The sequence below is a fragment of the Homo sapiens genome, chromosome 20, assembly GCF_000001405.40.
Source record: "Homo sapiens chromosome 20, GRCh38.p14 Primary Assembly".
Lineage (NCBI taxonomy): Eukaryota > Metazoa > Chordata > Mammalia > Primates > Hominidae > Homo > Homo sapiens.
In genome coordinates this window covers 15,106,955-15,134,522 of record NC_000020.11, presented here as the reverse complement: position 1 = coordinate 15,134,522, position 27,568 = coordinate 15,106,955, and the positions used below count along the sequence as shown (strand labels likewise).

General features: G+C 36.2%; 1 protein-coding gene across 3 annotated transcripts in view, besides 2 other annotated features; it reads right to left on the bottom strand.

Moving 5' to 3' along the window:
* MACROD2 (mono-ADP ribosylhydrolase 2) overlaps positions 1-27,568 on the bottom strand; it is a 2,057,682-nt gene that overhangs the window by 918,675 nt on the left and 1,111,439 nt on the right. The window lies entirely within an intron of this gene.
* Positions 16,663-16,832: an enhancer, noted in NCBI's record as "experimental_59649 CRE fragment used in MPRA reporter constructs". NCBI's record gives its function as "activates a minimal promoter by MPRAs in K562 erythroleukemia cells, with activity observed for both the introgressed and non-introgressed 20:15098422 variant alleles {active_cell/tissue: K562}" and the evidence as "EXISTENCE:reporter gene assay evidence [ECO:0000049][PMID:34662402]".
* Positions 22,013-22,182: an enhancer, noted in NCBI's record as "experimental_59643 CRE fragment used in MPRA reporter constructs". NCBI's record gives its function as "activates a minimal promoter by MPRAs in K562 erythroleukemia cells, with activity observed for the non-introgressed 20:15093072 variant allele {active_cell/tissue: K562}" and the evidence as "EXISTENCE:reporter gene assay evidence [ECO:0000049][PMID:34662402]".

The window sequence follows — 27,568 nt, the reverse complement described above, 5'->3', positions numbered from 1 at the left end:
CTCATTGGTTTCAAAGAACATCTTTATTTCTGCCTTCATTTCGTTATGTACCCAGTAGTGATTCAGGAGCAGGTTGTTCAGTTTCCATGTAGTTGAGCGGCTTTGAGTGAGTTTCTTAATCCTGAGTTCTAGTTTGATTGCACTGTGGTCTGAGAGACAGTTTGTTATAATTTCTGTTCTTTTACATTTGCTGAGGAGAGCTTTATCTCCTGACCTCGTGATCCGCCCGCCTCGGCCTCCCAAAGTGCTGAGATTACAGGTGTGAGCCACCCTGCCCGGCTCGGGCAAGGTTGGAAGACCTTTAAGATTATTTAAAAGAGCCGGGCACGGTGGCTCACGCCTGTAATCTCAGCACTTTGGGAGGCGAGGCGGGAGGATCACGAGGTCAGGAGATCGAGACCATCCTAGCTAACACGGTGAAACACCATCTCTACTAAAAATGCAAAAAATTAGCCAGGTGAGGTGGCGGGCACCTGTATTCCCAGCTACGCGGGAGGCTGAGGCAGGAGAATGGCGTGACCCGGGAGGCAGAGCTTGCAGTGAGCTGAGATGGCACCACTGCACTCCAGCCTCTGCGACAGCGAGACTCTGTCTCAAAAAAAAAAAAAAAAAAAAAAGATTATTTAAAAGTATTAATATAATTGTATATACTACAGCTATTTCCCTTTCAGTAAAAACAGTTAATTTTAAAAGATTTTCATAATTCTTCATCATATTGTGTTATTTAAACAGTCTCATATTAACGAATCCTACCATTGTTTTCAATTGTGTGTCAGAAGGAGAGGGTGTATAAATAAAGCTGGAATGAACATCATTGTACAAACATGTTGGTGAACTTCTCCAAGTATTTGCTGAGGGTAAATTCCTCTCAGTGAAAACATTTTTGGTCAAACAGTATGACCAAAATTTCTGATAAATATTCTGAAACTTCACAAGATAGTTCACCATATTTTATATCCTCAGAATTGAGAGTCCTTTATCAATATATCCACTCTGGAAATTTCCAGGTTTAATTATTTGCCAAACAATGTGGGTATAAATATTAGATTTTCCCTATGATTTATATTTATGTGTTTTTCTTCTATTTCTGTATGAGACTTACCAACAATTTATGTTTAAATACCCAGTGATTTTTCTTTGTTTACAAATGAACTGTTCATATTTTTCTAGGAGGTTGGTTGTTTTTGTCTATGAGATTTAAAAATTAAGAAAAATTAATGTTGATATTTATGCAAATAATTTTCTCCAGTCTATCATTAGTCTTTTGTCCTTTCTCATACTGTTTTCTCCTCAAAGTTTGTTTTCTAATATGTTTAATGTTGTGAAGTTTATTGATCTTTTCTTTATAAATTTTGAGTCTTAAATCCTTTTTATAGCACTTCCCTCTGCCAAGATTCTAAGTACATTTAGCAAAACTTTTGAAGAACAATTGTTTCAGGCTTTTAAAAATATATTTAATACTTTCTTCCATCTGGAATTTATTTTAAGGTAGAAATTAAGATAGGGATACAGGTTTATCCTTTTCTGCAACAATTAGCCAGCTATTCCACATTATTTACTGAAGGTTCTCTTTTCTCAGTTATTTAAAAAATAATACTATTATCACAAATTAATGTTACAAATATGCAAATCTATGGGTGGCCCCTTTATTTTGCTCTTCTCCAGTACCAATTTATTTTAATTATTGCAACTTCCTGATGTATTTTAAAATCTGATAAAGTTAGTTCATCCCTCATTACTTTTCTTTTTCAAAATTGCCGTGAATATTATTTTCTAGGTCAATTGTAATAGCAAAATGGTCTTGCATTTTGTCAAATATTTGTTGTTTTCTTCATCTTTTATAATTTTTCTTTTGATTTCTTCTGTAACTCAAGAATTATTTGAAAGTTTTTTTTAAGTGATTGGATTTTGTTGTCCTTCTATTAAGCTCTAGTTTTATTATATATTGGCCAGTGAGGTAGTTCATATTATTTTACCTTTTTGGGCTATATAAAAGTTTTCTTTGAGGTCTAATATATGTTTCATTTCCGTGTATGGCCTAAGGTATTGCAATAAAGTGATTCTCTAGAAATAGCCATAATTCATTCTTTCATCAATCCATCCAACCAACTGGCTATCAAGTTATCTATTTCTACATCTACATTTGCTTTAACTTTTTATCGATTTTATTCAGACCCTTTAAATTGCAACTAATTTTTTTTCTACGTAATCTTTTAATGGCTGACATGATGAATTAACATCTCTTACCACCACCATATTTTGTTAAATTCTCTTTGCATTTCCTGCAGCTGAAAACTTTTTATTTTACTTCATTTTAGATATGTTATTTAGACCATAAAGATTTATACAATTATAGTCACATTGTGAATTGCAACTTTTATCATACACTGAGTTTTTTCATCTCACTTAGCCCTTTTCTTGGCTTGGATTTAATAGTCTGAAAGTAGTATTATGAATTTTAGTTTTATTTTTGTTAGCATTTAACTGTTTACCTTATTGTTCACTTTTAATTCAATGAGTAACATCTTTAGAATTATTTCTTGTATATAGTATATAGATGGGATTTCTTTTTTCATGTAGTAACTCAATATATGAGTATTGTTCTCATTTATATTACATATATATCATTATCTTAACAAGTACTAAACATTCATATTCATTGATATAACAAATGCAATCAACTTCTTATGTTTTACATTCTAAATGTAATGTTTCTTTTGTTTTTAAGCTTCTACATGGATTGCCTCTTTATGTGTTACATACATGTTTTCCCCTTGGTGATTTGTAAGTTTTAAAGTCTGTTTTTAGTCATTCTATTCTACACAGCCTTCTAGTTCAATGTCTAAAAAGAGAGTTGAGCAATTCAATCTTCCATTATCAAGATTCTCTCAACATTTTTAATAATAATTTTGTATGTTGTCAAAATTTACAATATTTACTTCCTGTAATCCTCAATCTCATGATCGTTTAATTTCCATCTATACTTAAATGATATCAATGATTATTCTACCCTTTACCACAATTTCCCCATGTAATCCCCTGTTTTATCATTAAATAATCTGTTTCTGCTTTTGAGCTTGTGGTGTAAGTGACTTGTTTATTTTTCTCACCAAATCCTGAAAAATTTCATCTTTATATTAATTTGGTGCAAAAGTAATTGCGGTTTTTGCCATTAATACTTGAAACTTAATGGCTTAATAAAGGTGTGTTTTAGTGTTACTCATTTATACCCACATTTTTCTCCCCTGAAACATAATGTGTCCTTGTTTCTACAGATTTAGTTCTTCATTGATTCCCTACATTTTATTTTCTTAATTTGCCTGTTATTAGTCTCCATGTCAACCATGATAAACTTGGGCAGGTTAATCTAGAACCTCTATGTGCATGATTAGAATACGGGTCAATTCTTTTTGATTCCCTTCTTACCTTAGCTGAGATTTAGCTTCCCGTATAAACTACAATTTGAGTTCTGCTTATACCAGGGGTCATTTGTCAAGGGGGAGTGTTTGGGCTTTGGCAGGGTCTTGGTTAGTGTTTTGGAGTTTTGCCATCTCCTCTCTGGTTTTGTAATTATTTTATGCCAAGGTCTGCTTCACTTTATTGGGAATCAATTCAGTGCCTATGGCTTCAGAGAGTTTCCCTTACTCACCTCAGGGCCTCTGAGCCTCTACTTCCATCAGGAGTACCTCAGGAGATTTATTTAACCCAATTAGCTGCTCTCTTCCTCAGATATAACAGAGATAAGGCATTAAGGCAATAGGCAGGTTGAAGTCAACTCCCAGGGATTCTAGTATACACTTCCCTACTCATTCCAACTCCTTTGTCCCATTCTCCTCTTTTGTTTACTGATCAATTACAACCTTGTTTATTGCAAAAGTTAATTAGCTTTGACTGTTTTTGGTCATTCTGTTTTTTATCCCCTAATTTCATGCCATCATGGAGACATCAAGGTGGAAAAAATATTACTCTCTTGTGAGCAAGAAGACTGCCACCCTTAGGGAAATGTCCCTGTTTCTTCTCTCAGCCTGCCTCATTAGCTTCTCCACAGTTGGGATGAGAGTAGGGTGTTTTCAGGATTTTATTTTGTTTATTTCTCCCCTATTTGGTTTATGCAGAGAGCAACTAGATGCACATTGCCTATTACCAAAGCCAGACATGCAGTCTCTGGGGCTTAGATCTGCTTCCTTTGCTAGATAGTAGTATTTTCTTCTCATTGACGATCGGGAGTTTTTTCCTCCTTGGACTAGATGGATGGATGGGTGGATGGATGAATGGTGAATGGTCAGTGCTGATTTTTAATTTTATATTGTTCATACCATTGGGTTAAGAGGGAACAATATTTTGAGATTCAGCTTCACTTTGCTATGTTAAACAAGAGAATCTTGTTCACAATTATGAACTGACCCATGATATACTTTTGGAAGTGTTATTTAAAACACAATATGGGTCCTGCATAACTTAATTACACTGTTTAATGTTCATCGTAAAATGGGAATAAAACTGAAACTGGAGGTGGGTGACCAGGAAGCACAGGGACAAGAGAAGAACAGATGTGGATCATCCTAAGAACATCTACCCCTCTACTGCTTTCTGTTCCTCTTCACACGCCAGAAATTAATCTCTATGAACTCTGCCCACCTGAGTGACTCACATTATTCAAGGCACCCATAGAAATACAACAAAAGCAACCAGGAGGCAGAGGCAGAAATGCTAAAAGCCATTTAGGTCTAGCATCTGTTTCACCAAGCCCATTCTGCCTTCTGGACACCAAGAGCCTGTTTTCCGTAAATTAAAGTTACAAGCAAAGAAGCAACCATAGTAATCAGTCGTAAGAGAGAGCAAAGGGTTGACACTCAGCAAAGCTTGCTTTAGGGATTTATTCTGAATAAAAACAACTTGGAATGATTAAACACAGTTGATATATAAACTAAATGTTTTCAAGCCACAGTTATACAAGAAAAATTACCTTTAGATTAATTTAAGTAGTCTATTCTTCAGTGCATTTAAAATAGGGATAGAAAAGTTGGATACAATTTTCAGGAATCTTTCTATTGTGTTACATGAGCCATGCCATGTAAATCTGTGCAAGGAATTGGGGTTGGTGGGAGGAATAAAGAAATAAAATTCCTTTCCGTTAGTTCCAGTTTGCCCATTAGTTATACCACTGAAATGGTATTTCTAAGGATTCCAGAATTAAAAACAAATTACTTAGGAACTGAATGAAGTCTCCCTAAACAATATAACAGTGCATTTCTAAGGATGAAAAGTATAATACAAAGTATATCTTCATATATTTCCAGTTTCTTCAATCCATATATTAAATACAGATTTTAGCTTTTAAAAAATTTTCCAAAATAAATTATGTTACATTAATAAGCCAGTTCATCTAACCAATTATTTTTCTAATAAAAATGTAAATACATAATTTGACTCTGATGACTTTGTCTCTTATTTTAAATGTTAAAACAAAATAGGAGAGAAAAACTGTTTCACAAAATACACTAAAAAAGAAGGTTATATATTCTCCACTCTTCCAAATACCCAACTCCACAAACAAGAAGGAAGCATTAAAATGAGTATAAATGATTTATGCTAATGGTGATTTTATTTTGTAATCCTCTCTGTGATTAAGCACTTTTCAATGACATAGCAATCAAAAAGTAGATGAAAAAAAAAAACAAAACACAAACCCCAGATACAAACTAACCATCCTTCAAAGGCTGTGCAGTTTAAAGGACTACACATGAAAAAGAGTGTGTGGGTGAATGGGATATAGTCCTAATTACCCTAACAGTTCAAATGCATCATCATTGTTCAGAATCAAATTCAAACCTAACTTAGCCTTAGAATAATTACTTTCAAAAGCAAATGATAATGTATATATAATTCTTATATGTAACCCAAGTCCATTGGCCCTCACAGCTAGAATTTCTTTAGGGGAAAATTGTATCAACTGATGAAAGTAGCTTGATCCTACCTCAGAGTATTAAAATACAATTCTCTCATATTTCATAAAGTTGTCTCTATTGTTTGTGTGATGGGAAGAAAAGGCCTATCCAGGGAAAATACTAAAGAACTCATACAATAAAACATAATTTAATCTTTCAAGTAATGAAAATATTACAAGTTTTAGTCTCCTACTGTCTTTCTAGGTTAACACAGACATTCAAGTAATGGAACGTTGGAAGGGACACATTTTCTACTGATAGAAAGAAACAATTCTCGAAAATACCAGCCATCATATGGTAGGACTTAAAACCACCTACTGTAAAAACAAGATTAAAAAATATATGTGACTTCATTCTCCATTGTTCCCACTTTCTCTGTTCTAAAAACATACAGGTATTCTTAGAGCTAAAACACCTGCCTCTTTTTAAAACTACCCTTGAAATAAAAATTGGAAGGTTAATTGTTGGACACCCAACTTCAGTTAAAAGATACGGTGAGTAGGTGACTCTAATCACTAAGCAGAGCCCATCCAGCCCAAGTAAAGCAATTCCTAAAGACTTTAATACTTTACTCAGAAAACTATAGAGAAGACAAGAATAAGCAACATTCTAGAAGAAGCAGTGTGTTCTAATAATAAACATCTAAATTTATAAATTAATGTAAGTAGAGGGAGGTTGGTGGGTTAGTTGTCCTCTAAGATGACCCCTAATTATCCCCACCCTCTGTAATTCACACCTCTATGTAGTTTCCTCCCACAATGCACCAGCATTGGTCTGGGTGACCAATAGAATATTGCAAGAAGTCATGGTATGTTACCTGTGAGAAAAAGTTGTAAGAGACATTGTAGCTGCCATATTGGTTGTGTGCCCTCTCCCATCCACCTCCCTTTACCTCTTCACTTATTGGGAAGAAGCCAGTTGCCAAGTGGTGAGCAGCCTCACTTAGAGGACCATAAGGAGAAGAACTGAAGCCTCCTATAAACAACCACATCAGTAAGCCTTGAAATAGAGCCTCCAGCTCCAACCAAACATTCACATGACTGCTGCATCAACAGGTTAACGGCAATCTCATAAGAGAGGTTCTGAGCCAGAATCTCTCACCTAAGGTGTTCTTAAACTCATGAATGCCAAAAACTGTATGAGATAATAAATATTTATTATTTTCAGCAACTAAGTTTGAGAGTAATTTGTTATGCAGCAGTAGATAACTAATGCAATTTGCTCTCTAGAATATGTTTTAGATAATGTTTTTCTTATTACTCTGGAATAGTTTGGGTTGACCCTGAGGTTATCTATGTAAGCTTTACTGTCTTCTTTCTAGCATTTATTTATTTTGCACCAGTCACTTCTACTGCACTCTGATGAAAGGGTGGGCTAGGATCTTTGGTTGAAGAGTTATTTCCTGATTGGAAACCAAATCAGAAAAGTTTTCTGCTTTACCAAGATGTTTTCCATGTAATACATAAAGCATTCCCTTTGGAAACAAAAAGGCTTTAAAACCAAGAGTGTGGCAGTGGAAGTGTTCTGCCCTAGGTGTACATAATAAGGGAATTTGTTGTATATAGAAAATTTAGAAACAATAATAAAACTAAAAAAATTTGGTCTGCTTTTTATTGTCAACATGTGCTGTAATTCAAAATGTCAGTTATAGACTATTCCTCTTACCAAAATATTTTGCTGACCTAATTTCTAAACAACTGTAGCAGATACTAAGCTTCAACTTAGATTTTTTTTAAATTATCCTTTTATTTTACAAGTTAATTCACAGAAGTCCCAATTATACAGCTGGCCCAAGGGACATGAGGACTCAGATACATGCATTTGTTTTGAGAGTAAGTTCACAATTCTTTGTAATTATTCAAACTTGTTTCAGGCATAGTTTTTGTCTATGTGGTACTACATATCTTCTCTTGTAATCAGAAGACTCTTAATGAACAATAATAGCCTCTGAATTTACAGACAAGTAGACTTTGAGCTATTTCAATTATGTTACTCTATTTGAATTCTTGCATTTTTAAATAGTGCTCAATATTTGAGTGAACTACTGTAAGCTGCAAGATTTTAATAATTTTGATAAAAATGCAAATTTTATTAAATCAAAATAATTTATATAATTTTAAATTTATGATTTATTAAAAAGTTGTTCACTCTTTCTAAACTAAAGAATAAATCAAACACATCACACCTACTAGGGTGGCTATAATCAAACAAGCAAAAACTACAAGTGTTGGCAACCATGCGGGCAAATTGGAACTTGCATACGTCGCTGCTGCTGATGCACCTACTGTGAAAAGCTGTTTAGTGGTTCCTTGTAAAATTAAACATAAAATTACTATGTGACCCAGCAATTCTATTCCTAGGTGTATATGCAGGATAACTGAAAACATATGTTCATACAAAAACTTGTACACAAATGTTTATAACAGAACTATTCATAAGAGCAAAAAAAAAAAAAAAAAAAAAGTTGAAACAATCCAAATGTCCAACAATTGATAAATGGATATACAAAATGTACTATATCCATACTATGGAATATTTTTAATTCACTCATAAAAAGGAATGAAGTACTGATACATGCTACAACATAGATGAATCTTGAAAACATTAAGTTAAAGAAAACAGACACAGAGGCCACATAATGTAGGACTGTATTTATATGAAATGTCCAGGATAGGCAAATTTAGAGAGACAGAAAGTAGTCTGCCAGAAGACAGGGGGGAAGAGAAATGAGGAATGAATATGAATGGGTCTAAGGTTTATTTTGGAGAATGATGCAAGTTCTGGAATTCAATAGTGGTAACAGTTTCATAACCTTTTTAATGTAAAAAAACACTGAATTATACACTTTAAAATGGTGAGTATTACTATATGTAAATTACATCTCAAGAAGAAAAGAGAAAATACCGGTTATTACTGATTACTACAGTAAATTATTTTATCTTGTAGAGGAAAGTATGGTAAAAATGATCCATTCAAGGTATCAAATACATAAAATAAAACATTGCTAATATAACCCCTACTTTCCTCAGCAGAAACGTTCCCAAACTTTCTTCTTGGTGATATAGATTCACTATGATAAGTATTTGATAAATGTTGGTTGAATGAATGAATAAATGAATGAGTGGATTTCCCATATTTGTCCAATCTAATCACATAAAATCTTCATCTTAACCCCTACGTTTAGGATATGGGCATATGGTTTAGAGATACCTAGTAAACTACTGCTTTTCTGCTCACTCAGGGTTACTTTGAGGAATGTGTTTGTTTTGGGGAAGAGAGTTTAAGGCCATATTTAGGAATTACTTTGTTTAACACAGTCATTGGTACTTGCCCCAAAGGAAAATGAAAGGTTTTCCAAATCATAGTCTTTCATAGTGCCATGCAGTCGATGAGAACTTAATATATATATAGGGATTACATTCAATAAGTTTATACACAACTATTTAATTTTAAAACTTTCTATAATCAAAATTAAAAATATTTCACAAAAGCGGTATAATAGTGAAAGGTGGAAAACCACATTATTTAGCCAAATAATTTCCACCTCACTCACAGAATTACCTTCCTAACTGCCAACTCTAACAGCACCCTAATCAATGATTAGCTTACTGCAATTCTACTTGAAAATTAGGATGAATAACGAAATATAATGAACTTGTGTTTTTTTCAAATGGCACTTCCATCATGACTTTACTCAACAGTCACTCATTTCTCCACAAAAAAGAAATCAGAATATACATAGGACACTTCTCTCCTAGAAGGAACCTAGCTTTTTCAATACAAAGAAAGCCAGGGAGGTAAAAAGCAAAGAAATGAGATGGGGGAAGGACAAAATTTCAATAATGATTAATGTCCTAAAGAACTGGAAGAAATATAAAAATAAAAACATATGCTATAAAATTATATTTAAATTATCACTTTCATAGAAAAAATGGTAAGGAGATATCTCAAAAATTCCCTTAAACATCATATAAAGTAAAACTGTAGTAATTAGGGAGCTATATGCAGCTTATTATTGAGTGTTTTCCTATTTTAAGAAGTAATTTGATAAAACACACAGCATGGCTGTTTTATTTTGGTTGGCTATATATAGTTTCCCTTAATCTATATGCATTTCATAGAACATAAAGGTTTTCTAGTCATAAACAGATGACCAAATGACTTTTATTCCTATCTTAAAGCTTGTAATTTTATCTTTGCCTTTTTTTTAGAAAAAAAAAAAAACTAGGAAATTAAATATATAGGCTTAAAAGTTTAAAGAAAATCTTTAAATAACATATCTGGTAGTGACTTACTTTCCTATAGTATAAAATCTCACACTCCAACATTTTTAAAATTACTTCTTTTGACTGGATAGTTTTCTTTTTCATTCTTCACTGCCACTTACATGCAGTCTTACTAGCTAAGTAAATGGTTGTAATTTTAGTGGCATCAAAAAAAATCAAAGAGAGAAGAAAAGTACCCCAAAACTGAAATAAGAAGACAATTTAATGACAATTCAGTGTATAAATAAAAGTGAATCAAACACAGAAAATAATCAGTAGAATGAATATAGTCATGGAAATATCTAAGTTACAAATCTTTTTTTTACGTTTCAGATGTGAAAAGCTGAGAGTCAGAAAGTTTTATGTAATGAGCTAGCATCTCAGATGGATATTTAGGAACACAGGAAAGCACTTTTTATCGCATGTGTGAGTGCCAGTGCACACACATATACATTTGTATGTGTGTCATGGTTGCAAGCATAAATGGGCAGAAATAAAGTTTAAATAGAAATGTTATGCCAAGCATTGATTAGAAATCTTTATGTTGCAAGCAGCAGAAAATTTGATTCAAACTGACTTGAGCAATGAAAGGAATTTATTGTTAAGGTAACTGAAATGTCTGAAGTCACACTGTCCAATAGAAATATAATGTGAGCCACACACGTGATTTCAATTTTTTTAGTAGCCATACTTAAAAAATAAGTGCAATGAATTTCACATACTTTACTTATCATAATATATCCAAAATATTAACCTTTAAACATGCAATCAATACAAAAAAGGATTAATGAGACAATCTACATTATTATTATATACTAAGTCTTCAAAATCCAATGTGTATTGTGCACTTACAATGCATCTCACTTTGAACTAGCCGAATTTTACTTGCTCAGTTTCCACAGGAGGCTAGTGGCCACAGTATTGAACATAATAGGTCTAGAAATAGAACAGGTCTTGGGCAAGTGTTGATGTGGCAGCTCTATGCTATCACCAAAAACAAAATTTCTTCCTTCTGGTCTCTTTGCTACCCTTAGTGTTTCCTTCTTCCTAAGGCAGCTTTCCATGTCCCCAAGATGGCAGCCTACAGCTTCCAAGAGCTGCAGCTTGTTGTCCATGTCTAGCAGGAAAGGAAAATCTCTTCAACTATGAGCCCCAGAAAACATTTCAAGTCTCTTTGGTCTAAACTGGGTCATATGTGGCTACTGAGCACTAAAAAAGTAGTTATCGCTACTGAAAAACTAAATTTTTCATCAATTTAAATGTAAACTTACAGAACCATATGGCTTGGGCTACCCTATTGAGCAGCACAGCCCTAAATTACTCAGAGACATGGACTCACCATAAACATGATATTACCTACTCACACTTGTTAAGAGTATCAACAGGTGGGTCATAATTTGGCTGGGTCATATTAGTTCATGCTGCAGAGGCAAAGACTTTTTCACCCTAGTTATTTACTCAGTGGATAAACCTCAAGTGTGTCTTTGCAGTTCAGAGACCACGACCAGGAAACTGTGTTTTTCCCCCTCATGAGGCAAGGAGTGCCCATCATTAAATTCTGTTTAGTTTGGGGGTGGAGTGAAGTGCTATCTTGCTGCCAGAGAAGTAATGAGAGACATGTATAGAATGCATTTGGGTACAAAGCTCTACATTAATGAAAAAGAATAAAAATCTGAGTAAAATAATGAATACCACTGCCACTGTAAGCTTCGGTTGACTAAGAGGATTACACCTTAAGTAAAAAATAAAACAAAACAGTTATTTCTATCCTCCAATGCTATTTAATCAAATAATTCCTAAGCAAGTGTAGAAATACCTCTCTGTTGACTTTTCATGCCAGTAGATAGTCCAAAATGTCAAGGCAACAAATATTCCACTTGGTAAATTTGCCACAGTGGGCATGTTCCTGAATAACTTTCCTTGTAATGCAGCAGAGGAAACAACTGGCTTTATTCCCAATGTTCACTCAGGCTCATCCCTCACTGCTAGTGAGGGCACCAATAATGGTGGAATGTGCCTTCAAACAAATAGCAATACATCCAGATGATAGGGAAAATGGTATTACAGAGCCTAATGTCCGTGAACCAATAACCATTTCAAAACATTTTAATGCCAGGGTCACAAAGAAGCTTATTACATTGAAAGAAAAGAGGAGAACTAGCTTACAAGGATACCTAAATTTTCTCTCATCATTTTGTTTGTTTTAGCATGAAGAAAATATTAATTTTAAGCTATCATTAATGTGTTAAGAAAAGCACATTAAAAACAATGGGAAACTGAGAAATACAAATAATAGTGTATTTAAATATGTAGCTTAGAGTATTAGAAATTAGGTATGTTTGAGTAACTCCCTACCCCCACCCACAAATTTATTTCTTCTTTGTAAGGAAAACAAAAACCAATGACAGCATTTAACCTGATGTAGCAACATCCTAACCTAAGTATCATAAATCATCTTTTGAAGTCATCATCCTAGTTTCAGAAATTTCACCATTCTGAACCCTCATTTCTTTTCTCTTTTGAGGAATGCCAAACATGTTCAACTCCTCCTGGCTTTCAAATTCACCTAGAAGACTTTCTCAATGGAATGAAAAAATAAAGTAATTTTATGTTTAAAATGAAGATAAATAACAAACAGGCTGTGGTAAGGATTTAAAAAGATAATAGATGCGAAACACCTAAGAAAACTTAGCCTAGACATAGAGTAGACTCCAGGGGACTACACTTGTTCAGCTGAGCTGACCTACCCGTCTCCTTAGGGCATTTTCTTTCTTTTTTCTTTTTTTTTTTTTTTTTGAGGCAGAGTTTCACTCTTGTTGCCTAGGCTGGAGTGCAATGGCTCGATCTCGGCTCACTGCAACCTCTGCCTCCTGGGTTCAAGCGATTCTCCTCTCTCAGCCTCCCAAATAGCTGGGATTACAGGTATCCATCACCATGCCCAGCTCACTTTTGTATTTTTTTGTAGCGACAGGGTTTCACCGTGTTGGCCAGGCTGGTCTCGAATTCCTGACCTCAGATGATCCACCTGCCTTGGCTTCCCAAAGTGCTGGGATTACAGGCGTGAGCCACTGAGCCCAGCCTGGGCATTTTCTTAAAACAAAAATAAATTGTAAGCACTACCTATCCTGTACTTCACGCATTATATCTTTTCCAAAAGATAGAAGTAGATATAACTGGTTTTAGTTTTAAACAATATCTTTTATTTTCTTCATAGAATAGCTGTATCAAATGGAATTGACAAACAGAAAAAGAAGAAAACATGCAGGCAATGGAGAAATGGAAAAGAGAGGCCAAAGTGGAGACAGAAAAAGACCAAAAGAATCAATATCAGCAGACCTGGCTTTCCGACAGCGCTTCTGGATACAGGTATGGTGTTAATGGTTGACAGCAAACGACGCAGCAAAGACCACCTAAGAGAGGGTAGTCAACATTGTTGAGTGTGACAGGTGTTAAAGAAGACATGGTCTGAAGAAAGTTCACTAGAGTAGGCTATTAAGTGTTTCTACCACTTCAGAAAGAAACAAGACTGTAAAAGAGTTAATAAATGAATGGAGTGAGTTCATTGGTCAGAGAATACAAATTTATTTTTAGATGATCAGCAAAGGGCAGAAAGAAAGATGGAACAGTAACATGAAGGGATAAAAGTCTAACAATTGATTAAACATGGTTTTAATCCTTATTTTAATATACTGTCTGTGTATAGAACAAAAATGACCATGTTTCAGCCCATTCAGGGAACTAGTTGAATAAGAGAGCATTTGCAAAGCACACCTTAACAAATATTGCACATCACACAAGATAATTCATGATGGCTGCATGTAGAGTGCTGGCTTTAAATAAAACGCATATAAAATATTACATAAAGTAGGGGAGAAGAGTCTGTGTATTTGTTCATTTGTTCAGTCTGTTGGTTTTCCTCACTGCAGTCTGAGATAAAGTTCACAATGAATTTTGTCAAAAAGTGACATCAGAACTCCCATGAAAGAAAATGTGTGCGCATATGCACAGACATGCACACATGCATGAATGCACACACACACACACACACTCCCCCTTAAAAATACAGTCTAAGATAGAGTATGCTGATGACAAAGAATAACATGTACCATCATTTCAACCTGATTGGTGACAACGAATCATGCTAATATCTTTACCTTTCTTGCTAAGCTCTAAAGCAAGCAAACCATTCTTAGTTAATTTAGGATGTGTCTGTCATTAAAACAAATCTAAAGTGCAAGCAGCAGCAACTTTATTAGCGTTTACTGATCCTAGGGGTGATAAATATGTTTGTTTACTTATATACACAAGCAAAACTGTTGGCAAATGAGCAACTGCTCAGACTAAGTAGATAAAATTCACATTAAATATGAAGTCATGATATAATCCAAGTAATTGTCAGAATCTATACCAGCAATGGTCACCTTCTGTGACACCAAGGACCCCACTGTCAACCTGTGAGAAACCTCAAGGTTATGGATAATTTGCATTAGTCTGCATATATTAGCATATGCTTTGTATAAAAGTACTTCAAAAGTTTAGTTTCCCAAATATTAACTTAGGGCTCTGTGTCATTGTCTGACATTTGCCTAACATATCAGAACATGTCATTTATTCTTGAGTTTTGATTCCTTCTCAAAAACTGCTATATATGTGTGGTCACAATGGGTAGAATGGGTTCTAAGATGTCTCCCCATGGGACATGACTGACTGGAAGCATTAATCTTTAATCTTTTTTCTTTCTTTTTTTCTCTGTAATGTTCTTGTTAGTCATGCAGTTGAATTGAAGTGAGGATAACATCACTGCAATCTTGTCCCGTGGGATGCTGTGTCATCCTCACTACTATGTCTATTGACACTACTATGTCTAAAATCACAGCCCTGTTTGCACCTCTGTACAACAGCAGAGCCAGCTAGGTGTAGATGTACACACTCCATAACTTGTTTCATTGGCGAGGGAAGATGAGCTTTTGTAAATAGGAAGAAAAATATAAGCACAAAGCAGAAGAAGCTGACAAAAACCTTTAACCCAAGGAAAAGATACAACATAAAGTAGAGAAGGGTGGGAAATATTGAAACTAGATAGGCAAAACTTACGAAGTAAGCTGGCAAGAGACCACTCCTCTTGAAGTATCAATCTCTATGGGCCAATAATGGTTTCCAAATGGTACAAATGGATGAAATATTCCCAGGTCTTCCGATTGTTATAGGCAACAGAAGAGATTAATTACTCTAGTTCCCAAGGATTTTAAAAATTGGCAGCCTTTCACATAGGGTAGAGTTTGATGCACATACACACATACATACATGCTTCATGCCAAACCTGTTTTACATTGTTTCCATGCCCAGAATGAAAATGTGGATGCTCTCTCATGGCAGTGCACACTGCTCAAATAAAAAATAATCTGTGCCAATAATTAAGTTATCCTGTTTGATAAGTGCAATGCCAAATTCTCTCTGGAAGTGGCTGTATTTCCAACAAAGTATAAAAGCTGGTGTAAACACAGGAGGAAGTTAATTTTTAAAAAAGTAAATTTTGTCAAGTCTTGAAGAAAAGCACACCATAGTCCCTCAGAAAGCAAAATGCATTTCAAGTATATTTGATTTGTTCTACAACCTAAACCCTTCATACAGTGAATGTCTGAAGACCATAATAGTATCCTATAAGAGAAAAAGAGTATCTCAGAACTGATTTCCTTTGAAACTGAGGACAAATGCTTTAAGGAGAATTCTCATTGGTTTAGGAAATGCTGGATACAGTCAGGATTCAGTGCTTCCAAGAAAGTCCAATCAGTAATAGGTTCAGTCAAGAGCTCACTTTAGGCTGGGCATGGTGGCTCATGCTTGCACTCCCACCACTTTGGGAGGCCAAGGCGGGCGGATCATGAGGTCAAGAGATCAAGACCATCCTGACCAACATGGTGAAACCCCGTCTCTACTAAAAATACAAAAATTAGCTGGGTGTGGTGGCGCATGCCTGTAGTCCTAGCTACTCAGGAGGCTGAGGAAGGAGAGTCGCTTCAACCTGGTAGGTGGAGGTTGCAGTGAGCCGAGATCACAACACTGCACTCCAGCCTGGTAACAGGGCGAGACCCTGGCTCAAAAAAAAAAAAAAATTTAAAATTAAAAAAAGCTCACTTTAGATGCACTGCTTGGCTTAAGAAGTAGGGTTTAAATTAACAGCTTTTTTGGATGGTAATTCTAGAAAGGTAGCTAGACCTTACACTAGTATATCTTCAATTTTGATGCAACATAAAAGGGTACCCATCAATCCTGAGAGACCTAGGAGTTTGAGTTGGCATATCTTTCAGAGCCACAAAAAAGTAAAACACATTCTCTTTGGAGTGGGGAAAAAACAAACAAACAAAAAACATTGACTGATTCTTTACTAGAGTTTCATTCTAGAAGTTCTGGTTCTGGGGCTAAATAAGAGCAAAGGGCTACAAAGCAACAATTTCAGGTCTCCAAGCACAAAGTATCGTCATTCCATCCATAAGATAGGTGCATTAAGTCTATGGAGCCAATGCACAGGGAAAGATAATGGCAAACTTTCCAGGGTATTCCATCAAGTTGTCCAAACATTGAATGAGAGTGCATGTAACAATCCTAAGCTAAGTGCAATCTATCTCTGTACCTTTTAGATCCTTAATACTTCAGTCATAATACATGATATGAAGATGGTCAACGCATGCTCAAGACTCAATCAAATCTCTACTGGAAAATTGGAATGGGAGAGAGAATGAGTTTTTCCACGAAGAAACAATGTGACAAAAAAGTCAAGGATTGTCCATTTGAAATCGCGATATTTCCTGAGCTCTAAGATTCATTTCATTTTTATCTACTCTAGAATGTATGTAAAAGAGAGGGAAATCTTGTAAAGGACCATGTTCAGTTCCATGTTCAGTTTTGGGTTTCGAAGGAAACACCATAAAAACACCAACTCATTTCTTCTAGAAATCCCAAAACAAAATCTCAATTATGTTTTTCTAATAGGAAAATTGACAAAATAATGCTTAATAAGGAAGCTAAAATTGGCCCTAGAACAAAGCAAAACCCACTGAACTTTCAAAAATCTACTCTTCAGTTGTTGACTTTTTTCTTATATATTTTCTCCACATTATTTTCTTTACCATGATTCGTCCACTCTCATGGACACAAATTTTACCTCAAACTTGTTCCCAACTTTAACAGTGTTGAATGTTGTTTATTAAGGCATTAGCAAAGGACTTGTCAAGACAGTTTTAGCATGGTCATTCTTAGGACTACAGTGAAAAATACCTTAATTACAATTCAATAAATTAAACTAAGAAAAAAAATGCTTTATCATACTTGACATGCTGTCATGAACAGTGCAATAAAAGTATTAACAGTCTTATTTTAACTTCTTTAAAAAGAATATACAATTGACCCTTGAACAACACAGGGGTTAAGGACACCGATACCCTGTACAGTCAGCAATCCAAGTATAAGTTTTGACTTCCCAAAAACTTAGCTACTAATAGCCTGCTGTTGACCAGAAGCTTTATGGATAACATAAACTTTCAATTAATGCATACTGTATACAGTTATGTATTATATACTGTATTCTTATAATAAAGTCAGCTAGATAAAAGAAGATGTTATTAAGAAAATCATAAGGAATAGAAAATACATTTACTACCTTTTTGAGACAGAATTTCCGTTCTTATTGCCCAGTCTGGAGTGCATTGGCACGATCTTGGCTCACTGCAACCTCCGCCTCCCAGGTTTAAGCGATTCTCCTGTCTCAGCCTCCCAAGTAGCTGGGATTACAGGCACACGTCACCAGGCCCAGCTAATTTTTTTGTATTTTTAGTAGAGATGGGGTTTCTCTATGTTGATCAGGCTGGTGTCGAACTCCCAACCTCAAGTGATCCACCTGCCTTGGCCTCCTAAAGTGCTGGGATTACAGGCGTGGGCCACCGTGACTGGCCTAATTACAATTTCTAAAGTGGAAGTGAGTGAGCAAAAAGGTCTTCATCCTCATGGTCTTCATGTTGAGTAGGCTGAGGAGGAGGAACAGGAGGGATTGGTCTTACCATCTCAGAGGTGAACAGGCAGGAGAAAGTCCACATATAAGTGGACACACACAGTGTGAACAGGTGTTATTCAAGGGTCAACTGTAATCTGAATTTTTGTATATTCTGACAAGATACAAGAGGGAGAAACTTCGTAACACTTTTCAAATAGGCTTTTACCAGGAAGGAAAGAAGGTCTGTATATCAAGAAGTGAGTCAAAAAATTTTAATTCTAACAGTGGAATTGTACTTCTCTCTACTTTTCAATTCTTATTTTTAATTTTATTCTAGAGTTTTTATTTCTTTTAAGATTCCTCCTTTGTCTTTGATGTTTCCAGCCAGGAAATAGAAGTCTTTACACACTCACTTTGAAGATCAAGAAAACCTGCACCACCAACTGATCTTTCTTTTCCTCCTAAGAAACTAGAAAATTTACTGCTGGGAGCCATTCTGTACTCTTTATTTTCCTAGTTTAAAAAATTATGTTTTCATCGCTACATACAGTATACATCTTCTGATTTATCCTAAGTCTAAAGATGTTTTTATGAGACTTAACCAAAAACTGTGGTCTTTAAATTAAAATTAAGAAGGTAACTTGACAATTTTCATGTATCATTTCCAGACTTCTGATTCTAAAATCCTATCTTTAGAATCAGGATTCTGATTCTAAAATCCTATCAAGAATTACCTTGAAACCCTGCATGTTTGGGTAACACTTAGTGATGAGAAAAATCTTTTAGAAAGAAGACAATAGGCTGGATATAGTGGCTAATACCTGTAATCACAGTGTTTTGGGAGGCTGAGTTGGGAGGATCACTTGAGGCCAGGAGTTCAAGACTAGCCTTGGCAACATAGGAAGACCCCATCTCTACAAAAAAAATTAGCTGGGCATGGTGGTGCACACCTGTTGTCCCAGCTACTTGGGAGTCTGAGGCAGGAGAATCACTTGAACCCAAGGGAGGGAGACAGCAGTGAGCCAAGATAGTGCCACTGCACTCCAGCCTGGGCAACAAAGTGAGACCCCGTCAAAAGAAGTTTAAAAAGAAAGAAAAAAGACCATAATACAACCCAGAGAGACAAAAAAATGTATGAGGTGATTACAACAGGGCTCTATGTATCAATAGGAATTTTTTGACTGCAACAAATAGAATAGATTCTGATTAATTTCAGCAGAAGAGGAATTCATTTGAAGAATCTAGTGGAGCTCACAGAATAAAAAAGGAAGTTAGGGAATAGGAATTGGCAAAGATAGGTGGCAGGAACTCTCTAGGAGAATTGGTAGCAAGAGTGTTTCAGGGCAACACTGCTGGGATCAGTCAGCTCCAAACACATACAGCCTCTTTTTCATTCTTCTTAAGATTTGGATTCCTGGAGAGAAAGATCTGATTGGCCTAGTTTGGGTCATGTGTTTTTCTCCTCACTGGGGGAAACCAGGGCATCTTGATTGATGGTCTCATCAGACAGAATCCACAGAACAAGAAAACAGGTAAAAAGGCAAAATAAAAATGAAAGGAACAAGCAGGGAAAGAGAAGGTAACATTAAAGGTGTGCTTGATTGTATTAGTTTTCTATTGCTAGGTGACAAATGACCACAAATATAGAAACTTAGAAAAATACATTTTGTATGTCTTGGTTTCCATGGATCAGAAGTCTGGGCATGGCTTAATTGGATTCAATCAAAGTGTCAGCCAAGCTGTGTTCCTTTTTGGAGCTTGGAGTTCTCTTCCAGGCTCACATGACTGTCAATAAGAGTCCTTTGTGGTTGTTAAGACTGACTGATGTCCTCACTTTCTTGTTGGCTACCAACCAAGAACTACTCTCACCTCCTTAGGTGGCCCATTCCTTGGCATCCCCCTCTCATAATATGGCAGCTTCAAGACCAACAAAAGAATCTCTCTTCCAGCTGGCTAAGATGAAGTCTTATGCAACATAACCTAATCAAGAGTGACTATCCCATGACCTTTGCCATATTCTATTAACTAGCAGCAAGTCATGGGTTTTGCCCAAACTCAAGAGGAGGGGACTACAAAAGAGCCCTGCTCATTCTGGGTCAGGTTACGGTGTGTCTACCACATTGATGTTCATCATGAAAATGAGACAGAGGTCTGATGCAGGACAGCTAACCCCACAACTGTGGTCCTGAGGAAGATGCACATTCACCTCTCTCAAAGCCAGCCTTCTCCACCCTGTGAGTCACAATTTGATGAATCCTTGGATAGCGGTGACCACTGACTTTGGGGTGGAGGTAGGCCTGCCAGACTTCAAAGATTAGGCACCAGCTTTAACTCCTTTAGGCATAGCTGTGGCCTTCTTATGCTTCTCTGGGAATTATACTAGCAGTCCTGAAGCAAGAGGAAAGATCTCCAAATGGAATCATCCCATTTGGAATAATTTGGAGCTTTCCCCCTTCAAATGAAATCATCTGGAGATATCCTGTTCCATAAAAATAAAAAGAACAGCTGAAAAACCCCTCCAGCACACACACACACACACACACACACACACACACACACTTCAAGACTACACAACCCCATACCTATCTTTAAGTTTTTTGTTCAACTCCTAGTGAACCTTTGTATGTAAGAAACAGGCAAAACCCACAAAGTGATGAACAAATGACACTTTGTGTTGGAGGCTTTCTGAGTCTGGAGCAGATTAGATACAATTCACAACAATAATATCCATCATTAAACATGCTGTGGTGTGCCTGGTGGAAAACAAAAGCAACTTGTTTTACACATAGTTGAGTTTCTAAATACTGACATTATGTCATTTGTTTTGACGCCTCAAAAACACTGACATTTCATCATATTTCAAGTGTTCTGAAAAAGTTAAACATGCCCCTTTATTCAATATGACTTTTAAGCAGCAGAGGAAGCATATCATTTGTAAATGCTCATGAACCATATGACATACATGTGTGTTAAACCAATACACAATAAAAGCATCAGATCAGCTACATATGGCATTGTTACACCAGCAGTGCTATTTTCTCAGCTAGTTCATCATTCCAAGGCAACTTAGATATGGACAAAAAAAGCACAGAAATGTAAAAGGTGTTGCTGCTTTGGGAAAAAAAATGTATTGCATTTCCTCAAAAAGTTAAAAATAGAGTTATTATATGATTCATCAATTCCACTTCTGGGCATATACTCAAAAGAATTGAAAGCAGGAGCTCAAACAGATATCTGTACACTCATGTTCATAGAAACACTGGCAATAGCCAGAAGGAACAACTGAAGTGTTCATTGATAGATGAATGGATAAGCAAAATGTGATATAAATACACACACAAACACACACACACACACACACACACACACACAGTGAAATATTATCCAGCCTGGAAAAAAAAGGAAATTCTGACACATGCTACAACATGGACAGATATAATGATTCCACTTATATGACATACCTAGAACAGTTAAATTCATAGAGACAGAAAGCAGAATGGTAGTATCCAGGGGATAGGTGGAGAGATTAAGGAAGAGTTACTGCTTAATGAGTACAGAATTTTAGTTTAGGAAGACAGAAGTTCTAGAGACAGATGGTGGTGGCCGCACTACCGTGTGAATGTACTTGATGCCACAAACTGCACACTTAAAATTGAATAAAATGGGAAATTTTTGTTATACGTGTTTAACCACAGTAACTTTTTTTAAGATCACAGGGCTTGATATCAAATTTACTGAGTTCCAGTCTGGGTTTTACCATTTCTTAGTTGTACGATCTCACTGCATTTTTTTCTTTCTTAACAGTAAAATGAACATAAAATGACCAACCTTCCTAATGGAGTAGTGAGGAATTAAAATCTGAAACTTGAAAAAGGCCTCAAGGCAATCAAATAAGAATTCACTAAGTGATAAGAATAATTTCAAATGCATTATTAAAATTAGAAGAGTTGCCCGTTTCAGAGGCCCAGCCTTCATCAAAATTTCTCAGCCTCTTTAAAGGCTAATAGGTCTATCCAGTGGCCTAATTTTAAAGTCCCTCAATGCTTTATTTCTAAGCCAAGTTCCTTCCTTTTATACTTCTGAACCCTCTTAACATCAACCGTGCAATGATTAAGAAGATATATTTTGTCAAATCACAGATAAGAGAAATCCTGTCAGGGTCTCTGCAACAATGAATAGACTAAGATAGCAATAAAACAAAATCTTTCAGTCATATCCCAGTTCTCACCCTGGTGCCAGATTCCACCCAGAGAACAATAGAGGGGTGGTATTTATCAGGTTTCAATAGGGTCAAATCCTGGCCCTGTGAACTCTGGGGTGTATTTTAACATCTCCCTTTGACCTGTGTTCAGTACAGAGCACAAATGCTAATGAAGGAGGAAGCTATCTCTGAGTTTTCAAGAGCTTGCATTAGGCAGGGGCTGAGTGGAGGTGCCCTAACAGCACCTGGCATCTGACAGTTCAAAGACTTGCCAGAGCTGGGCACCTCCCAGTTAGGGGTTTCCTGCAGAGAGGGCCTGCCCTGCCAGGGTTGGCTTGCTCCTTGCCTAAGTTCACTGAAAGTTTTACAAGTTGTCCTCTCTAAAACAAAAGCTACAGTGAAAACAGTGATACTTGTATGTGATGCCCACCTAATTTCTCTGGCATCTTCCAAAGTGCATAATGAAAATGGAAACTGTCTTCCCTTCAGGCCTGGAAAGGACCAAACATATTCTAGACCCAGAATATTCTAATATTCTAATATTCCAGCATTCAAACTCTGCAGTAGTTATTATGGATTTGCCTCAACCATAGAACTTTTAAATAAGTTTTAAGTACTATATTTAAAAATAATAATAGAAAACACACTAGAGGGCCAGGCGCAGTGGCTCACCCCTGTAATCCCAGCACTTTGGGAGGCCAAGGTGGGTGGATCATGAGGTCAAGAGATCAAGACCAGCCTGGCCAACATGGTGAAACCCATCTCTACTAAAACTACAACAATTAGCCAGGTGCAGTGGCAGGCACCTGTAATCCCAGCTGCTTGGGAGGCTAAGGCAGGAGAATCACTTGAACCCAGGTGGCAGAGTTTGCAGTGAGCCGAGATTGCGCCACTGCACCCCAACCTGGGCAACAGAGTGAGACTCCGTCGCAAAAAAAAAAAAACAAACAAAAACAAACAAACAAAAAACACTACGGAAGTAAAAAATATCTGAAATACAGCAGACTTAAGATTGATTATATGTGTGAGTCAGATACATTGCCAAGTGACTTTGAGAAAGTTATTTCAATACTCTGTGGCTCTGTGACTTCATATTCTCAAAAATGGGTAAAATGACTCTTACTTCACAGAATAATTGTGAGGATTAAATAAGTATTGGATGCAGGTGCTGAGCACAGTGTCCAGCACATAGTAAGTAATCAATAAATGGTGGTTGTTTTCTTAGAAAAATGGTATATGCTACTAAGAAAGCCAATGGAGTTTGAGTATTGGTGGCAGCAATGTAACTGGCTCTCAGACCTAGGGAGGTGCATTTGTCACTCAAACCCAACTACAAGCTGCTGGAAAGTGCACAGGAGGGTTGATGGAGGCCTCTCCTCTCCATGTTCAGAGACACGCATAGTCCCTCGCAGAAGGAGAATCTGGCCACATGTTATGTCCTCATATTTCCTTCTGTTGCATGTACTGCGTGAAGGGCAAGAACATGCCACAAGACTGCCATCATACTTTTTGGTTTTCCACAAAATATATGGAAATATAAATAGCCCAGTATTCACAAACACTTACTTTGAGGACAGGAGTCTGGTCACACAGATGCTGTGACTTTGCCCTATTTCTAAACCTCTCCTTCCTGCTTCTGTCTTTCATCTTCTCTCTCCCTTCACCCAGCCTCTGGCCCAAGTATTGCCTCTAGTATTAGAATTAATTCATCAAATTGTATGACAATAATTTGATTTTGCCTTTTCTCCCGCACATAGATCTTTACTCATCTTGATGTCCCCAATTCCAGTGCAGGGCACCCGGCAGGCCCTTGACAAAAGTTAATTAAACATGATTGAGGAAACCAAGGAAAAAATGGTCTATTTCATTTCTTCATCCAAAGGAACCAACAGATCTCCTCAAGTTCTTTCTGGCCTCTCCTTGGGCACCACTGCACAGGAGCATTGACAAGACAAACCCAGGGCACACACATTACTCCCTGAAAGTAAATTAAATGATAGCACTTGGAAGCTGCACTCACTCACTAGACCACTTAGAATGGTATTTTGTAATTTTCCATACTTTGAGTTCTCTAGCAGGACAACTACATACAGTCTAAGGGCTTAACCATCATCATGTTCCTTGTACATTCTGAACATAATTTATTTCTGCCCTCCGAGAACCTATTATCACAAACGGCACTTGCCTTTTTGCTCTCCAATCTCCCAAATACAAAACGGCTCCCAGAGAACGAGAAGGCTTTTCGCCTTTGTGAAAAATATTATTCATGCTAAATTCTTTTTGGAATTTTGGCATATTTGATTTAAACAAATGCTTGACTTTTCTGAATGATTGAGTATGCCGATTTTTCCCCTCCAAGTAGGTCAACTGCAAAGTTCCTGAGCGCATTCAACAGGTGATTGTGCACGTATTTATGCATATATGCAGTTGTTTTGGGCTCAGAACATTTTGTACTCAAGGTTACTTTCTTAAGATTCGTTTTATTTGTTCAGCTGCTTTTTCTAATCCCCTACCTTAGCACTGTGAATTCTGCCATTTATTTCACAGTACCTGCCTCTACAAATGACATATCCCATTTTGTTTGCAATCGTCTTTTCTTTCTGGGGCACAGTCAGGTGGAGGAGCCCTGCCATCTCTTTAGCTTCCTACCTCTTCCACATTAAGCACTGTCAGCAACCCTTTAAAAATAACTGATTGGACAATCTGCATCCTGTCAAGATGTTTTCCCAATAGATATCTAGGTAATTAAAATCTCTTAGTATATTTAGGTCTTACTACTTGAGTAATTCTTCTGGTTGTTAAAGCGACATTTCATCCACCTCATTAAAGTTTCAGACGACTCTGATCACAGAGTTCCTCACGGTGAACATCCAGGAATCTATCACTTTTACTCTTTTGAATCCAAGTATGTTCTATGTCAAGTGCCAGCAATGTTTTTTCTATAAAGGACCATATAGTAAATATTTTTGACTGTGAACCAGATGGTCTCTGTCATGACCACTCAACTCTGTTGAAGCATAAAAGAAGCCATAGGCAATATGAAAGTGAATGGGTGTGGCTGAATGTCAATCAACCTTTATTAACAAAACAGGGAGTGGGATTCCTTTGGCCCACAGGCTTTAGTTGGCTGATCCTTGATCTATGTAATAACTGTGGTAATAACTGTGCAGATCTGGACTGTGGAACAGACACATCTGGCATGGGGTCCTTGTTCTGTCACTCACTAGTTGTGTAATTTCAGGCTAATTATCTAACTTTCCTGACCCTCACTTTCCTCCTCTGCCCTATCTTACAGACACAGAGAAGGACAGAAAAAGACCCATCATGGTGAGACTATCACTCTTCTCTGAGGGAGTTTGGGGTTCTGTGAAAGAGATTTACCAAGAGCATTACATCATTTGAATTGTGCTTCAAAAAAATTCTCTGGTTCAAAATAAAGGTAATAGATTTAATATCCTTGCTAAACAAAAAGATATTCAATAAGATGGTGTAGTAGAACCAGTGAAAAATGATAAAAACTCTGAACTAGATTAGTGGCAGTAAAAATGGAGAATAAGTGGATTCTAGGAGTATCTAGAAGGAAATCGGCAGTGAAATGAGGCATGGCCAGGCCAGCTATCATTAGGTATAGAATAAGGCCACTCCATGAGTTGTAGCAATGTGGCATGTGCTTAAATAATCCACAGGATATGTAAACAGTTGTTTTGGCTAAAATAGAAGCATAAAAAGTGTCATCCATCATCATGCTTTCCAAGTTATTGAGTTCCATATAGCCATGCTTACTTACTCTATTAATGCTTGTCAAAGTATAAGAAGAAAATATAGTAATAAAAACCAGCATTAGCCACCCTTTATTCATTGCTTAGTATGAGCCAGGCTGTACTACATACAATCTTTACCTAAACTCTAAGAGCTCAGTAATGTCACCATAACTTATCAGATGGAAACAGGAAGCACACTGGGAAGTTAAGTGACTTACCCCAGTATCACATAGCTAAGAAGGGAGGCAGCAGAATTAAATTCCAAGGATAGCTTGTTTGAGTCCAAAGTCTGTGCTCTTAACCAATAGCCTCTACTGCCTTCTAGTAAGTGATTGATTTTTAAAAAAATAATAAAAAAATGTAAAAAAAAAAAAAAAGAGCTTGCTCTCAAGAGTCCATAGGACTTGCTGACTTAACTCACCGCTGTTTCTGAAATCCTGCAAGCTGAACCTGGGCACCAATTAGTCCATGTCTTTGGAAAAGTCTTTTATTATCTATTAGCCTCCATTTGTTCATCTGTAGCTCTCTTGCTATTCCAAACAGTAAAAATCCCACATTCTATCACATTAAAACAACAACAACAAACACAGGTAAGTAGGAAAATTAAGATGAAGTAATGTATTCTGCTGTTTCATTGAAACATAAAATGGAAACAAGGAAGTAAAAAACAGATTAGGAAGTAGCTATTATCTCTGTAAAAGTATCAAAAATCAGGGAGAGAAACAACAGTCTCAGAAAGCATTAAGTCAGATCGACATATTCCTGGCATAGACTTTTGTCATGATCACACTTCTGGATTGAAAAAAAAAAAAGATAGGAAGCATAAAGACGATGAGTATGTTACTTGTTGAAGAAATCATAAAGAATTATTCATTATCACAAGGTTTTGAAAATGGGAATTAAGGATTTACAGTCAATGTTTTCTCAATATCCTTTTGCAAACCCAGTTTTAGCAAAATTAAAAGAGCTTGACAACAAATGGTAGTTTTTTTTTTCAACTATTAATTGGTTATGTGTCAGCTCAGCTTCCTAGAACTAAATTACTTTCTGAAAAATAGAATTATATATTTTTGTTGCTTGCTAAGAAAATGTTGCCCAGAAATTTAAACATAATTCATTTCATATGTGTGTTTGTTTTCAGTGTCATAAAGCAGGGAGAAGTTTAGAAAAGGTAGAAGAGGTAAACTGGTCATATTTTATGGTTCCATAAAATGCTGGAATGAGAATTCAAACCCCAGGAAATGTTTTAAGCTGTAATACTTGTTTAAAAACAAAATCCCAAAAGCCTTAAATGTTATGAATTACAGAACAATCTATATACATAAAGGTATATAAAGGATTGTGTGTATCTGTGATGTCAAATATTATATACATATAAATCATACATTAGGGGATACATAATATGT